This window comes from Homo sapiens, chromosome 10, assembly GCF_000001405.40.
Source record: "Homo sapiens chromosome 10, GRCh38.p14 Primary Assembly".
Taxonomy (NCBI): Eukaryota; Metazoa; Chordata; class Mammalia; order Primates; family Hominidae; genus Homo; species Homo sapiens.
Genome location: NC_000010.11, coordinates 59,268,855 through 59,286,916, shown reverse-complemented (window position 1 = coordinate 59,286,916; position 18,062 = coordinate 59,268,855). Strand labels below are relative to the sequence as shown.

The 18,062-nt window shown below is 41.2% G+C and overlaps 1 protein-coding gene across 24 annotated transcripts in view; it reads left to right on the top strand.

The window, feature by feature from the left end:
• Positions 1-18,062, top strand: part of FAM13C (family with sequence similarity 13 member C) — a 117,053-nt gene that overhangs the window by 76,265 nt on the left and 22,726 nt on the right. For all 24 annotated transcript variants that reach the window (XM_006717702.4, NM_001347845.1, XM_017015891.2 and 21 more), the window contains 2 exon segments: positions 3,470-3,554; positions 16,808-17,018. In XM_006717702.4, the coding sequence (XP_006717765.1) occupies positions 3,470-3,554; positions 16,808-17,018 (296 nt within the window).

Sequence of the window (18,062 nt, the reverse complement as noted above, 5' to 3'; positions counted from 1 at the left end):
GATTACAGGTGCGTGCCACCACACCCGGTTAATTTTGGTATTTTTTCGTAGAAATAGGGTTTCACCATGTCAGTCAGGCTGGTCTCAAACTCCTGACCTCAGGTGATCCACCGCCTTGACCTCCCAAAGTGCTGGGATTACAGGTATGAGCCACTGCACCCTGCCACCATTTAAACATTTTTAAGTGTGTAGTTCAGTGACATTAAGTACAGTCACACTGTTGGGCAACCATCACTACCATCCATCTCCAGAACTTTTTTCATCTTCCCAATATAAAACTCTGTACCCATTAAACAATAGCTCCCATCTCCTCCCTATGTCCCACCCCCCAGCACCAGCTCTTGATAACCACCATTCTACTTTCTGTATGATGAATATATATATATATATATATATATATTTGAGATGGAGTCTTGCTCTGTTGCCCAGGCTGAAGTGCAGTGGTACAATCTCAGCTCACTGCAACCCCAAACTCCCGGGTTCAAGCAATTATCGTGCCTCAGTGTCCTGAGCAGCTGAAATTACAGGTGTGTGCCACCATGCCCAGCTAATTTTTATATTTTTAGTATAGACGAGGTTTCCCCATGTTAGCCAGCCTGGTCTCAACCTCCTGGCCTCAAGTGATCCGCCTGTCTCAGCCTCCCAAAGTGCTGGGATTTACAGGCTTAGGCCACCGCTTCCAGCTTCGATGAATTTTACTACTCTAAATATCTTATGCAAGTGGGAGTATACAGTAGTTATCCTTTTGTGATTGGTTTATTTCACTTAGCATAATGTCCTCAAAGTTTATACATGTTGTGGCATGTTGCTGTGTCAGAATTCCTTCCTTTTGAATGCTGAACAATGTTCCATTGTATGTGCATAACCACGTTTGGTTTATCCATTCATCCGCTCATGGACACTTGGGCTGTGTCCACCTTGTGTTAGTCTGTTAGTTCTTCCATAACAAATATCAGACTTGGAAACTTAAACAACAGAAATGTATTTTTTCACAGTCCTGAAGACTGGAAGTCTCAGATCAAGGTGCCAGCAGGGTCAATTTCTCCTGAGCCTCTCTCCTTGTCTTGCAGACAGCTGCCTTCTCACATGGCCTTCTTTCTGTCTGTCTCCCTGGTATTGCTTCCTCATCTAACCCTAACTGCCTCTTTAAAGGGGCTGTCTCCAAATACAGTATCATTGGGGCTTAGGGCTTCAATGTATAAATTTTGTAGAGACACTATTTTATCCAAAACATAACTCTTGGTTATTGTGAGTAATGCAGCCATGAGTGTGAGTGTATGAATATCTGTTCAAGTCCCTGCTTCCAATTGTTTTGGCTAGATATGCAGCAATGAAATTGCTGGATTATATGGTAATTCTATTTTTAATATTTTGGGAGCCCATCATTCTGTTTTGCATAGTGGCAGCACCATTTTGCATTCCCATGGCATTATTTGTTAATCTTCAGGGTAGTTTTGCTCTTTTTGAGAGGTCACTGATTTCCAATGTCCTTCAGTAGGAAACTTGCCTAGAATCTTTGTTTGCCTCCCAGCTGCTTGTTTACTAAATAGTAAATCCTCCCAGAAACTTGGTGTGCCTGTTCCTTCAGCAGCTCCTGTCAACAACCTCAGTTCTTGCTTCCACACTCAGCTGCTGGGAAAACTTCCCAGAATGGAGGAGGAAGCCAAAAAAATGGCCCAGTCCCACACAGGTGCTTCACGTGAGCTATGGGCTCCCAGACAGCAGCCGCTGAGCTCTTAGGAGGTTTGCGCCGGGTCCCACCCCATCTCCAGGCATGGCAGAGGTGTGATCCTGAGCCTGCCTAGGCACCTGCTCCTTTCAGAATGGTGAAGAGACAACAGATTTTAGACATCCCTTGGTGGGCAGCTTGTAAAACACTACTGTAGGTTCATACTCACATCAACAGAATGGATCAAGTGGTGTGTGTGGGACTCGATCTTGCATGGAAGGGAGGAGTTGGGGTGTGAGAGATGTTGGATAGATGTCTATGTGAGGAGAGGTGTGAAGGTGTGTATGGAGCAGGTGTGTGTGTGTGGACAGTATGTGAAGGCATGGGAATTGGATGTGGGTGTGTGTGAGGTGGGTGTGCATGGGTATGTGTGGAGTAGGCTGGGAGGTTTCGGGGGCTGGATGTGAGGGTATGAGGTATGTGTGGGGTAAGGGTGTGTGTGTGTGGAAGGTGGGGTGTTTTTAGGTGTGGGGAGTAGGGATGAGAGTATGGGGGTTTGGTATGAGCGTCTGTGTGGAGTAGGAGGTGAGGGTAGGTATGAGAGTGCATGTAGGATGGAGGTGATCACTAGGGGCTGAGGGTGTACATACGTGTGTGTGTGTGGAGTAGGGGGTGAGGGTGTGTATGTGGCAGGGGTGGGGCTGTGGAGTGGGAGTGACACTGTGTGGGGGAAAGGATATGCAGAGGGTAGGGTGTGAGTAGGTGTGTGTGTGCCTGTGTGTGTTGGAGGGTCCTAGCAGGGAAAGGACCAGTGGCTCTGCTCCCGGTGCCCACCCCTGCTGGAGCTGGGAGGACAGAAGAGCAGCTGAGACCTGCAGAACCTTCTCGTGGAGAGGGAGAGAGCCTGGCCAGGGACTCAGGCTGACTCACTTTCACCTGGTCGGAGGAATTAATTTGCTGGCATCTGCATCATGGCAGGATGCATGCGTCAATCTGTATGACTTTGTTCTTATTAAGAATCATGGGAGAAATTTTAAATGAGAAATGAAGAGAGTGGGTGGGAGGTTATGCTGAGGGCTATGAAAGATAAATTGCTTCTTCCTCAGTGGCTAGGTTATGCTAAATGACCAAGGTCATCTCCCTCCACCCTTTTCTTTCACCCTGTTCTCATGTAAGAGAAGTAACTTTAGAAGACACACACACACACACACACACATACCCCAGCATACCAATGTGGACTAGGGAGCCTCAAAGCCCCTCCCAGATGCCAGGCAGCCTCTGCAGCAGTAACTCTTTGTGCACTGCAGTTTGCTGCAGTCTTTGCTTTGGAGGGATGATGGCTTTTATGAACGGTAGCCAGGGAGGGACCTAATGTCTTCTGCTTCCTGATGTCAGCACAATGAATGAAACACTCAAAGCGTAAAGCCTCAAGCACCCGGGAAGCAGATATCTTCTCAGATTGGTTCTCCAGATGCAGCGTCTCTTGCTGATGAAATCACCAGTCCCATGTGTCACAGATAATCCATATACGTTAGGATTTAAATGAGGCAGAAACTCAGCCTGCATGTGGAATGATGCGTATATGATTCTGGCACAACCAGTTCTTTCCCTGAAGCAGCTGTTGCCACCACCCTCTTCCTGCCAGGCAGTGGAGGAAGGTGCTTGCGGGAGCTGCGGACACACTGTTGTGTGTTAGGCATCTACTTAGCTGGCCTCATGTTCTGCTTTTGCTGGCAGAATTCCTTGCTGAAGCTGCAAGCCCTCGAATCTGATCTGTGCTCTGCATTTTTAACAAACCAGGAAGAAGCTGCTCAGGTGCATGGAGTCAAGGACCCGGCGCCAGCATCAACCCAGAGCGTGCTTGCCGATGGGACAGATTCTGCAGGTAAGATACAGGGCTGGGGGTTGTCCCAAATTGTACTCTCAAGGTAGTTCAGTCTCTTGCTGGTTCACACTCAGCCTGAGCCCCTGAGGGAAAACAGTGCCTGGGGCAACATGAAAGCCCAAGAGGTGCTTCTGAGTTGCCCAGGAGTTGCTGAGGGGGAGCAGGAAGGATTGGGATTTGCTATAACATAGACCTGTCTAGATGCGGCCAAGAGTCACACTTACACAAATGGGTGTCATTTGTGTAAGGTGAAAGTACCCATCACAACATCTAGTCTTCATTTTCCCATTTGGTCTCCTGGGACAAATGAGTGCTATGCTTATTTTATATTACTGGACCTAGATAACCTGTGCTGTCTTGAAATTCTTCTTTTTGATGTGTTGAGGATGGGGAAGTTTCCATACTGCTACTTCCTTTCCTGTTAACTGCTTGTAAGATGATCCATGCATGCAGGGAAAGTGGGGGTGAGTGGTCCACTGACAGCTCATTCTGATCCTGTATTGTCTTGTTTGGTTTCCATTTTTTTTTTTCATTAATTTCCTTGTCAAAAAGTCCCAAATTGAGTCTCAATTTTCTGTTAGTCTCTGGCTTTAATTCCGGGGATGGTAGATTGGCTAGCCAACAGCAGGCAAATTAATGTTCCCAGGAATATTTGGAGAGGAAAGAAACACTGATTTATATAAGTGAGAGCACAGCTTATGTTTTCTAACATAACAAAGAGGTCACAAGTTTGCAGACTGGTTTCCAGATAAATGGTAGAAATAGGCTTAGGGAGCATTCTTCATGAAAGGTCCTTAATCTCTAGGAGTTGAAGGCAAAGATTTACACAGGTAATCTGTTTCAGTACCATTAGCAATTGTACATTTTAGATACTCCTGTTGAAAGCAGACCCCATAAATATATACACCTACTATATGCCCAAATTAAAAGTAAAAATAAATGAACAATTTAAACAAATTTTAAAGAAAAAAGAAAGAAAACAGACCCACATAGTCTAAGCAGGTAAATCAGTACTCTCCAGTGCTGGAATGTGTACTAATAATGGTGGCATATAATAGCTACTAGTAGTAGCTACTATCATTATTTAAAACATTCTATGATCCTGGCACTGTTCTAAGCACTTTTTGTGTATTATATTAAATACTTAAACTGACCTGTGAAGTACTACCATTCTTCATAAGACACTGAAGCCTAGTATAGCATTGCTGGTGAGTGGTACATTGTTTCCCTATGGATGCAGGTGGCCAGTTGGCTGTCTTTGTTGCCCAGTGAGCTCTCCTGCTCTGTTGGCCATTATGTTTGGATGAGTGGCAAATAAAATTGAACAGGAGCCAACGTCAAGCCAATTAGCAATTTCAGTCAGATTATTTAGACAACATCCCTTTTCTTCCCTCAACACCAGATTCCACTCCCTGCAAACAGACAACATATTTAATACAAAACACATAAAGAAGTCTCAAGCCAAGTACAAGTTAACTGTTGAGTTATTTGATGATTTGGATTAACTATACAAGTTTCTGACAAAGTGTTCAGTAAAATATTTGTTGCATGTTGGATGTGGATATATTTTTTCTTCTTTTCATCATGACTTTTATGTGTCTTCCCAACAATTAAGAATAGTTTTGGATTTTCTAATTCGGCATGGGCAAGATTTTGTACAAGCTTATTATCACTTGTTATAAAATGAAAATAAATACAGGGTTTATGTAGGGATTGCTCACACGGAGGAACTAGCAATGCATTCCATGTTAAATATCAAATGGCAGAGATGTGCAGAAGTCTCTTTAGAGAGGAGGCTTGTGGGTTGCATGCTGGATTTTCCAAAATGTAGATGAATCTGAAATGTCTCAGATCTCCCAAGAGAGTCTAGAAAACTAGATTGTAGAGACATCTAGAAAACTGATGTTTCCAGGGACCTAAGGAGTCTCTTCATTTGGCAGGGATATTGCCAAAGTGACAGGCAGTTGTAAGGTGCCTTTGTGACTTAAATTATGGGATGGTTTGGTCTCACTGGGTTCTTAGATGCACTCTTACAGGAAGACCATGCATTTTTCTAATCAATGAGTCACTCAGGGAAGAAATTTATGCTCAGATCCATGGTTCTTAACTCAGGGATGGATTTCTAGAATGATCTTTGGACACCTTAAAACTTTAAGTTTTTTCATGTTAGTCCTGGTGAGAGGATGGTTGTGTAAGATGAACACAGATGGCCATAGTCCATAAAAGATTATAGTAACTTATAAACAGTTTTCTCTTTCTTAACATCTAGCATTATCTCTGAGCCTTACATGTATACAAATATTCAAATCATAATTGTTATAAAAATTCAATTAGTAATTTTTGATGTCAATAACATGGACAAAATCCGTGATTTTGAACACGGATTTGAACATGTGATATGAACAAGTGATTTTCATAAGAATACCTGGATATAATATGCTGTCACTTAACCATAAATAGCAAACATTCAAAGGATAAATTCATGTGACCTAGTGGGTTTCAAATTCACTATAGACTTGATTGGCTTTAACTTGGGTTTATGGGTTGCCAAGATCAGTTCCACCTAGTAAGAGACTTGACATGCTCCCCTGTCCTAGACAACCAGTTGTAAACTGCATATGCAGCAAGAACGCATTTCATGGTACCCCTGGGGACACTGTATTCTAGATACTGTTCCAGAACCTTCTTACAGATCATAATTACCAGGAAGCTTTTCCAATGTGGAGATTCTCTGGCATCCTCTCTAGACAGTCTAGGATGAAAGTCCTGGAATCTGTGTGTTTCATAAACCCTCCTGAATAATAGAACCACACTATTCAAGTGGACAGTGTCTTGAATTGGGAGATAATGTCAAGTTCTGTCTGACTCTGCTGTACCTCAATTTTGCCAACGGGAAGAGGCTCACAGATCACATGGGACTTGTAACTCAGGGTCTGTGGCCAGTTGGCTCCATCTGCTTACTTATTTCAGGAGGAGAAAGTCCAAGGGTTGGGAGTGAGTGGGATGGGGATATAGGCAGATTTGAGGAATAGAGGGCCCTTAGGGAAAAATTGATGGAGAGGAAATTGGCTGCAAGGCAGCTTGGGGCCATACAAAGGGTAACCAACTGGATTGGTTTGCACAGGATTGTCCTATTTTTAGCACTAAATATCCCACATGCTAGGAAATCTTCACTCCCAGATATTCCAGGACAGTTGGTCACCCTACTTGTAGGTTGCAAACCACAACCTGTGAGACAGAAGCTGTTATAGACTGAGTCTTTGTGTTTCCCCAACAACTTATTAAAATATATGTTGAAGTTTGGAGGTGGGACCTTGGGAAGGTGATTAAGCCATGGGATTAGTGCCCTTATAAGAGTACAGAAAGCTAGCTTGCCCTCTTCCCTCCATGTGAGGCTGTAAGAAGTCAGCCCTCTGCAAGCTGGAAGAGAGCCCTTATCAGAAGTTGACCAGGCTGGCACCTGATCTTGAACTTCTAGCCTCCAGAACTGTGAGAGATAAATTTCTGTTGTTAATAAGCCACTCAGTCTATGGTAATTTGTTATAGCAGCCAGAACTGACTAAGGCAGAAACCCACATAATAGGCTCAAAATACCTCTAACTCTATCAATATCTTCTTACAGCTGAAGCAAATATTTCCAGCATGGAATTAGTAAGCACCTATTCTGATGTGATTGAACGGAAAATGGAATGAGGATTGTCTTTTCCACTGCTTATGATTTTAGAGTGTGGAGAAGGACTGTTCATGTTCCACATGACTCAGCATAGTAGCCTTTGTTCTGTCTGACCAAGGATGATTGATGGTTTGGAGTTTTAGCAAAAACTGTCACCAGAATAACTGCACACCTATTACTAAAAATAATAATTCCATAGCAGTACTTTATTATATTTTTCTAAAATCTTGATCTTCAAATTGAACTTTCAATTTGGGTAAGACACTAATGTAGTATGTCTATTTAGAGTCTACAATTATTCTCATGCAGAATTCTGCATAATCTATAGGTCTCTTCCAAAGTTGAAGTTGACATAGGTCAGAGTCAACCAGAACCTGACCTTTTCGCTCATATTTCCAGACACTGTCCACTTGACCAGAAGTTTTCAATTAATTGGAAATGCTTATCAAATTTACAGCTGTCTGAGATCCCTACCTTAAAATTAAAAATTAAAATATAAAGATGAGGCCTAAGAATCCCTACATTTGAAAAACTCCCTTGATGATTCTGAAGTGCAAGAAGGTTCAGTAATACTTTATAGAACACGGTGCCACTCCAGGGGTGACATGAAATATGTTCCTGCTGCAGGTGCGATTTAGAAATAGATTTCTAGAATAGGAAAGCATTTCAGGTATCCTACTAGGAGCATCTGGTTATCCATAAAACTTGATATTTCAGCCTATGTGGGGGCAACCCCAGATAGTCTTTGAAAGTCAGTAAGAAGAGATCTTCATTCAACCTCAGAAGTGCACAGAATTTCCAAATATCTTTTAGAAACTTAATTCATTATGGTGTGTGTGTGTGTGTGTGTGTGTGTATGTGTATGTGACATCGAGACTTCTAAAGCCTTCTAGAGCCTTTATATATATTCAGGATGTACCATCTAATGCTTTAACTGAAAAATGGCTACTATTATGGAAAGTAGTACTTCATTTATTTGTCTTAAGTTGGTTCCTTTAAAATAGAGGTTTTCAATTGGGGTCTATTTTTTGCCGCCCTCGAGGACATTTGGCAGTATCTAGAGACACAACTGGTTACAATGAGGGGGTGGACATTCCTGGCATCTGGTGAGTAGAAGCCAGGAATTCTGTTAAACATCCTGAAATAAACAGGACCACCCTTCTCCCTCATCAAAGAATTATCTGGTTCAATAGTGCTGAATGGTCAATAGTGCTGAGGTTCAGAAACCTTTGCTGTAAAAGCTCTTAAGTGAATAACATCAACATTAGCTAACAATGACCTCTTTATTTGCATCAGGCATTAGTGAATGGATTGGGCATTAGTGGATGGATTTTCTTATTCTGCACAAGAACTCTATGATATAGTTTTCATTATCACCCCCAGATGAAAGATGAGGAAATAAACTTGGAGATGTAACTGGTGATATGGTTTGGCTTTGTCCCCACCCAGATCTCATCTTGAATTCCCATGTGTTGTGGGAGGGACCTGGTGGGAGGTAATTGAATCATGGGGGCAGGTCTTTCCCATGCTGCTCTCGTGATAGTGAATAAGTCACATGAGGTCTGATGGTTTTCAAAAGGGGAGTTTCCCTGCACAAGCTCTCTTCTCTTGTCTGCCACCATGTGAGACAAGCCTTTCCCTTCTGCCATGAATGTTAGGCTTCCACAGCCACGTGGAGCTGTGAGTCCAATAAACCTCTTTCTTTTACGAATTGCCCAGTCTTGGGTATGTCTTTATCAGCAACATGAAAACGAACTAATACACTGGCTGAAGGGCCCAAAGCTGCTGAGTAGAGGGTGGCTGGGTGGAAAGTGGGGAAGTGTTAGTGGGGCTTTCCCCACTCTGACTCCATAGCCTAAACTCTTCATCAGTATGCTATTTACCATCCAGCTTAAATGGTAAGTCCCCAAAGTTCTAATATTCTAGAATTTGGAATGAAATATATAGCTGGTCTATATACTCTCTATATAATTAACGTATTTTGTAAGTCATTTTAAAATCCATCCCTGACTTTGTCTTGTCAGACTGAAGAGATCTAGATTTGTGGTTGATTTATTTGCTACAGCCCCTCTGTTTCTGTAATTTTGCCTCCTCTGATCGAATCCATCTCTAGGTCCCTGTGCCTCTTTTGATGTATATTTACCTGAACTGCATAGCGTATTTCACATGGAGTCAAATACTACAATTTTATTTGTAAATATCAGCAGAGGTACTATAGTTTTACAGAATGTCACCACTGGAAGAAACTGGGCAAAGTATACAAGGGATCTCTATTATTTCTTACAGCAGCATGTGAATCTACAATGATCTCAATTTAAAAAAATGAATTAATATGTGAAAATGGGAACAAGGGCATTTTATAAAATAAATATGAAATAATTATGCCTGTGGGATTGTTTTCCAAACCCTTCCTAGAGATGCACATTATTTTCTTGGCTTTTTTGTCATATCAGTATATTCTATCAGAGCTCCCCAAATCCCACACCTGATTAAACTAATAGCTTAGTGCTTGTTATTTGTTAGGAGTAGCTGGCTTTGTTTTCTTTAATGGCATCATTACTGGCCTGCAGTGCAAGTCATCTGCCACTATTGAACCTCTGCTTCATGGTTTATGAGCTTGTTCTGTGGTTGCTTAGCATTTCACTCTGAAAAATGTTAACATCATCTGCAAATTCAGATTTATCATTCTGCACTTCCTTTTCCATGCCATTTCTGAAATGCAGAATAAGATTAATTCAGGACCCATTTGCAAGTATTGGTACTGACATGTCCATCATAAAGACAGACATTAATCTCTTCCCTTAGCTGCATATTGTTAAGTGAACTTTGCATCCATTGCAAAACATGGCCCAATCATCATTCAGTTTTGTTTTAAAACAATCTTTGGCGTGAAAATCTTGCATAGACTTCTTGAAAACCCAGATATATTTTCATATCAATGGTTGTTTAAAAATTTCTTCTTCCATGTCATTTCTGAAATGTAAAACAAGATTAATCCAGGATGCACTTACAAGGATTGGAACTGAATTATTTTCTTAAAATATTAATTCAACTCTGCCCTTTGCAAAAGGTTCTGCCTAGCTCAGAAAGATAGTTCCTTGCAGAACTTTACATGCTACTTGGGTGATTTGGGACAGGTTATTTACTCTCTCATCCTCCTCAGTTTCCTTTTGTTTAAAATGGGAAAAAGCATACTATCTAATTCCTAGGATTGTTGTTAGAATGGCATGCTATAACATATATATGAAGGTCTTAGCTCATCTCCTGTGGTAAATGCTCCATAAATGTCAGCTGTCATTATGTTAAAAGCTGGGAATTCTTTCTGTACTCAGAACTCATATCTCCTTTCCTCCAGTTGATAATGCTTACATTTGTCTTTGAATATGTATTCTATCATAATTTCTAACTACTTCCAGGGATTGGAAATGACATTTCATATTGTTCATTCCCTAGGTCCCCTCTAGAATCTTGCATATGATTGACATTACACTTATTCTCCTAAGCAAAAGGTATTTATAACAGCAATAATCTATAGAGCTGATGGCTGAATAAATACTACCTATTAAATTTGGAATTACATTTGTAACAATAAAATCTGTACTGTGCTAAACCTATGACATAACTTGGCCAGAAAAGTTATCTACTATTAATAATTTTTATGTGATTTTGTAACCATCTTCATAATCTATGAAGAAAGGAGCTTTGCATTAACCCCTTGTTTTCTAAGGAAAGATTTCAAAATGTATAGATGACTGTAATTCTCTGAGGCCACTTCTCCAACTGCTTTATAGGAAGGAAATATCAGTCCTACAGCCCAAACTGCCAGGTAGTTATTTAATTTTTTTAATTTACTTTTTACATTAGACCAAGTACTGTGTTGTTATACCTGATTGTATTTGTCTTAAACTGATTACAAATGAGAATTCTGAATTTGAAGAGACTTGCCTGGCCAAGGATATAACAACTGCCAATAAGTGGTATCACAGACAAAGCCCAAGCCTCTGACTCCAGAGCCCGGGCTTTTAACCAGTAGCCTATAGTCATTACAAAAAATATTAATAGACTTTATTTTTCAGAACAGTTTTAGGTTTACAAAAAAACTGAACATACAGAGAGTTGTCAATTACCACTTTTCCCCTGCACACAGGTTTCCTATATATTTTAGTCACTTTAAAAATACCTTTCTTTGGGTTCTTTTAGTATTAGCTTTTCATGCATAGAAAGAGTGCCTGGAAGTGACCAGATGGCATGCCCAGAAGCTTGGTGTCTGACACTGCTCTTGATGCCTCCCAGGCCCAGGGCTTGGTAGACAACCTGTCCTGTCTCTTCGAGTTCCTTGAGAATCATACGTTCCTCTGGCTCTATCTGGAGCTGCTGGTCCAACTTCCCTGAGTGAATTGGCTAATTCAGCCTAACTCATGCCACTTGAGATGAATCATTCTTGACTATACTTTCTAATTGACTTGGGATGAGACTAGTAAAGGTACCGCCCACATCGAAGGTTGGAATTTCCTTCAGTGGTCTTTCTGTTTGCTTTGTATATTCAATGTTCCCCAAATATTCTCCCCATAGTGCTTCTGCTCATAAATGAAAACTCCCATTTGAAAATAGCTTTTGTCATCTTAATAGCAGATTTTTATCAGCTGTACCACTAAGGTGATCAACTATTCAAGAATCGACTAGAAGACCTGGAGAGTCAAGTAGGCTGAAAAATGATAAGCATCCAGCACCCAGCTTTCTCTGTATCCCTAGAGGGCACTTCTGAATATTCCACACTATGATGGATAATTTCTCTTTCCCTAGCTCCACAGCTCAGGGAGAACCCTGGACCTGGGCAGGACATTGTTCAGCCTTGTTGTTATCTGAGCAGTTGGCTCCATTTTGGTGACATAGGGAGAGTAAAAGATGTTCTCAGAGATCAGAAGCTGTCCATTGGACATTTCCCTTGGTTATTGCTCAAATTCAATGAGATTGAGAGACATTAAATAATGCATCCCAGGTCACACCAGTGACAAAACTGGGACGAGAATCTGGGTCTTCCTGAGCCTGTGGCTCGTGTTTTTATCCATTATGGCAAACTGCCTCTTGGGTTTGCAGGGTGACTGTCATGAAGCCCAGCCCTGTTTTCAGGGTGACAAATTTCCCACCCCTCCAGCTCCCTAACACGTCTAGTGGCCATCTATAGAAACTGGCACATAAGACTGCTTGGAGTGCTGACCTCCTCACTGCTCAGTCAGTCTCCCCAATGCAGAGTCCCTTTTCATCTGCCCTCATTCCCACCTGACATGACGATACTGCATCTCCTTTCTCAGTGCTGTCTACCCAAGGAAGCTCATCTGTTTTCTCGCCTTGGTTATTGGGATGACTTCAGGTTTACCCATGTTCTCTCTCCCCTAACCATATAGCTAACCCTTTAGTGCCTCAGGAACTCAAATGTGACATACCTAAAACTGAACCCATCATGTATCCATGTTTTCTTGGTTGTTTTTCATCTTTGTTTTTCTGGCCCTCTGTGTGTGGGTGATGCTATTATCCTCCCTGCTGTCTGTCCTGAGAGAGGCTGGTTGAGAATGCTAAGGCCTGAACCTCATTAGAATCACAGACATGCTTTTGGCTTATTTATCATTTGAAACCAACAAAGGCTGAAGTTTGGCATTTTGGAATGTCCCTGAATGCTATTTATGAGCCCACCATGATGGGCAATCCCAAGAGTGCAATTTTACGAATCTACACATCTCAGCACCCCATCTCAAGTTTTTGCAGATAGAGATTTACTTAGGTTTGGAATAGCTTTAAATTCACATTAGAAAGATAGATTTTTAAATCTGACTAACTCATTTAACCACTATAATGTAGCATTTGCTTCTGCTTGGGGTTACAGCCTGAGCAGAAGTGGTCTCTTGGCCTTCACACACTGATAGTAACTTCTTCTCTATGTTCCCTTCTGCTCAGTGACTGTGCTGCCAGAAACACTCTGGCTTCCAAGTCAGAGATGTGGCATCCTCTATGTCAAGCACTGGTCAAACTCTCCCTGAATGGAGATAGCCTAGTTACGCAACATTTCCTAGTGAATTTAAAATGAAGAGCATATTACTACCAGCCTCATGTAGTTGTTATGAAGATTAAATACATGCAAAAAATCTCAGAATAAGATTGAGGACACAGTGAGTCACTTCATAAATATTAGATATGATGATTATTATGTTTTTATAAATAGGGACTCAGAGTAGTGACAACATGTTGAGGGATATATTGGTTCTTATTTTCCACATTAACCCTGTAGGGTTTCCAAATGAGGTTGGTGTTCAGTAAGAGAAGACAATATTCAACTTTCTTATATTAATAATAATATTTGTTAAAAATAATGGGTCTCATAGATGCTGTGTTCAGTAGTTTCTATGCTTTATCTTAAGATTTCACCAAATACCCTATACAAAGGATGCATGGGTGAATATTGTTACTTTTAAGAGGAATTTGTTTTAATGTGTATTAGTTTTAAAAAATGTAACTAGTACATCAAATTCATGAATTCTTGGTCATTGCTTAGGATGAAGCGTAAGCATAAGTAACAGCATTGTTACTACAGTAGTCTCCCCATATCCTGGGCTTCCCTTTCGGCAGTTTCAGGTGCCCACAGTGCAGTACAATAAATAGTTTCAGAGAGATCATATTTACACAACTTTTATTACAGTATCTTGTTATAATTGTCCTATTTTATTGTTAGTTGTTGTTGTTAATCTCTTACTGTGCCTAATTTATGAATTAAACTTTATCAAAGCTCTCTCTATATATAGGAAAAAACGTAGTATATATAGGGTTTGATGCGCTCTGTGGTTTCAGGTGTCCACTGGGAGTCTTGGAACTTATCCCCTGCCGATAAGTGGTGACTACTGTATTGACACAATGTTGTAGAGAGTGTCTCCTTTTATTTTTCTTATCACAGTCCTGTGAGGAAGACAGGCCAAACAATGAAAAAGAGAGGTGGGGAAACTGGCTGGAGCCCCACAGAAAGTATAGGCACACCAAACTCCCGGCTCCCAGACCCTTTCCTCTAAAACATACTGCATCGCAGGATGAGTCCTGGCAAGCTGCCCCTTCCTTGGGGATAGAAAGTAATGTGCCCCTAGGGAACAAAGGTTCCACCTTAGTTTAATATTGCCATCAGCTTCTCCCTACTGGGAAGCAGGGTCTGGAAGCAGTGGCCTGGACTCTTCCCAGGACAGCAGCAGCATTGGCTCTGAATCTACACTAGCCTCTTCTGAGCAAAGAGCTCAATAATTCTGTCTACACAAATACACACACATATGCATGTGTCAGCTGATTTAATTAAGCCCCTTCTCAACTCAAATGGGGAGTTTGGACAAAGAACTGAGGGGTTACAAAATTACCAGTTTTTGACTGGTGTTGCTTTTCAATTGGTTGCTTTGGGATCTTTCTGGCTCACAGCTTCCTTCAATAGTGAATTGGAGGCAAGGAGGTTAGGATGTTAATTGGGCCACATGGTAAATTATGCAAATGCCCAAGGGAAAACAGATGCCATATAAATGGAGGTTTACAATTACTGTTGCAATGCAGTTTTTTAAAAAGCCATTTGTAGTGATGTGTGATTCTACAAAGTTATATTTTAGGACTCTATGGGTTCCAGAAACTGAGATCTTTCCCTGGCACTGCTTCACAGTCATGTTACTAGGATCCCAAGTATTTCCATTTTGGCATTATAAAACAGCAACCAGTAAGAGACCTTGTTAGTTTTGACCCTGGGGCCACAAATGAGCTGAAGGGTTGAAGGTCTCAGACCTTTTCCATTTCAGTAAAAATATGGTGGTCCCAGGTGCCTGCTAAAGATTATTTTCTTCCCCATTATTTCCAGAAGATATTTCCAAGAAACTGGTAGCATGAATAAAACACATTTCTTCTTAGAGCCTAGTGGTTTAAGAAAAGGATTTGATGAGGAACCCATACACCTACTGGTGTATTTTGAAGGTGATATTATATGCTATGAGTTATTGGTTAGTAACTCTTATTCCTGTTACTCCTGAGGGCTCTTTCCAAACTGCAGAGTTTTCTGGGTAAATTATTCATGGCAAGGGTGTTGCCTGTGGTGATGTGTGTCAGTCACACCATTACACCTTGTCTTGGGCTGGAGGCACTGCCATTTGCCTCCCTCCAACTCTTTTGTCATCACATCCATTTCTGACTAGCCTCAGCCACCGACAGTGCTGTCAGTGAGCTGCAAAGGCAAAATAGGAGGCGTTATCCATTCTCCAGTCTACAATCCACCAGGGGAGAAGCCAGCTGAAAACACAGGAGGACCTAATCAGGCCTTTGATGTTACGCAAAGCAGATTGCATTTCAAGCTCTAGAGAACAAGGAGCCACTCTAAATCTGATTAAGATTCATCTGGTACCAAATTGTGATAAGTGTTTATTTTGGACAAGCAGAGCATCAGTGTTTTCTGATTCTGCTTATTCATCCAGAAAATCTTTTGTTTTCCCCTTTCGTTGGAGAAGAAGTAGTAAGAGAAAGCCTTGGCTGGTCCTGACTTGTCTGTTGAGCAAACTTGAGAAGGAGACTGGGCTGCTTCTTGAATAACTCTGTACAGAGCCTAGGGTGCAGAGCTCCTTCTTCTGGCCCCCTGACTCAGTTTCCTAATGATCTGATCCCCTGCTGCTGTGCCTCAGTCGCCTGCCCTTACTTCCATAGCAGATGGGTACTTACCTTCTGGAGGACCGTGAGGTGGGGAACTAACTTAAAAGGGGATTGGTTCTAGTGAGAATTCAGGGACAGAGATGGCTAGCCGGGGAGAGGGTTCAGAGAAGGTTTTGTGTATGTTTTTTGTTTTGCCTGAAATAAAATCGTACATAAAGTTTTGGAGAAAAAAATAGAATAATTCCTGATTCTACCATGCTTTGTAGTTGCTATGTAACCTCTTTGATCTTTTAGTGCATCTATTTGTACATATAAACGTATGTGTTTATGTAAAACAGAATGTTTTGTTTTGAAATTTGTGGTTTCCATTTAGCATATTCTGAACATCATTCCTTGTAGATAAGCAGAGTTCTCCATCATTTTTGATGATTGCTGAATAATTTTCTTTCTGGGGACTCCTCTCCCCTCTCTTCCTCTTGTTTTTCTTTTCTCTCTTTTCCTCCTACTCCCTTCTCTCCCTTCCTTCACTGGTTGTTATACCTTTTCTTCCTGATAATCTATAGTCTTTTGCTCCAGCTCCATTTTATTGTTTTCTTTTTATTGCTCTAACATTTTGTAATATACCCTCTGACTTATGCAAATAATGTGAAATGAAAAGAAGATTGTTTTGTAGTTTGGGGTTGTGTTGATTGTATAACTCATACCAAACTTATTTGTTTCCTTTGTTTTGTTAACAGCTTTGTAATATTTTCTGTCCAGGTTCTGTGAGAATAAACATGACAATATTTTGAAAGCTTTTCATATCCCCAGAAGGAAGAAATGACAAAGAGGCAAGCCATTATAATGAATGCTTATGATCTTTATTTAGGAACATGACAGTCTCAAGCCCTCTGTCACTTCTAAGTCTTGATGATTTGTCTCATTTGCCCAGACCCCTCACCAGTCCACAAAGATGGGCAGAATGAGGCCGACAGTGCACCAGAAGACCTCCACTCTGTGGGGACCAGCAGGCTGCTCTATCACATCACTGATGGTGATAACCCACTGCTGTCGCCACGATGCTCCATCTTCAGCCAAAGCCAGAGATTCAACTTAGACCCCGAGTCAGCCCCATCTCCACCCAGCACTCAGCAGTTTATGATGTGAGAAAACTGTTTTGTTATTGTCTTCATTTCATACAGTTTTTCAAATACCACATTTATAAGCTACAATGAAGTGTGACTGAAGTAGCACAAATGTGCCTGCCTAACGCAACTGCGAGACTGGAACAATAAATGACAAAAATTAGTGTACTTGCTAGTTGGGGATGCCATTGCAGGCCTTGATACCTCAAGAGGAAATGGTCATGAGAGACAGGATAGCCCAGCGGCTCACATGTTTGAACATTTTTGGTGAAATGACCAGAATCTTAAGTAAGTATATGTACATGCACATATCAGACATATCATTCTTGATGAACTCAATATTCTTTCCATGTCCAGTGGTAGCATCAATGGATGAGTTCTGGGAACACTTGGGAGCTGTCCATCTACATTTCTTGTTAGATTCTAGAAAAGTGGTAGCTTACAATAGCTACCCTCATCCAAATAATGTGTGTGTGTGTGTGTGTGTGTGTGTGTGTGTAATCGGATGCCTGCCCCCTACACATTCCACTTGGAATTTGCATTTGGGATTGAGGAACTATGTGTTGTTTATGTTTAAGTTCCACAAATAATTTTGATGTATAATTAAGATTAAGAATCCCTTGGCTAAAAATATTCCCAGGGAATCCCTGGTTTCTCCGTCAGAACTCCTGCCATTTTTTCTTGAATATATCTAACCCTGGGTCCATGAACTATCTATCGATGGACCTGAAAGAGTTAGTGAATTATTGGCATTGCATGTAAAGTGTGTGTTATGTGAGGGGGTGTATGCAATTTCTGGAAAAGAGGCCCATCCTTTCATCATATTAAAAAAAAGTCCTGTTATGTCAAGAAAAGTTAACCACTCATCTAAATCTTCCTTGAAAATGTTGGTAGGTATGGCTTGGGCAACCTACTGAGGACAGAACCTCAACAGTACTGTCTCTTTCGAGTCTTAAATTGGCCTCCTCTAAGCTTTACAAAACACATTTCCTGGACTAATATCTTGACATTTTACACTAAAGTCCAAGACAACATCCACCCATAACAGAGTTTTGTGATAGG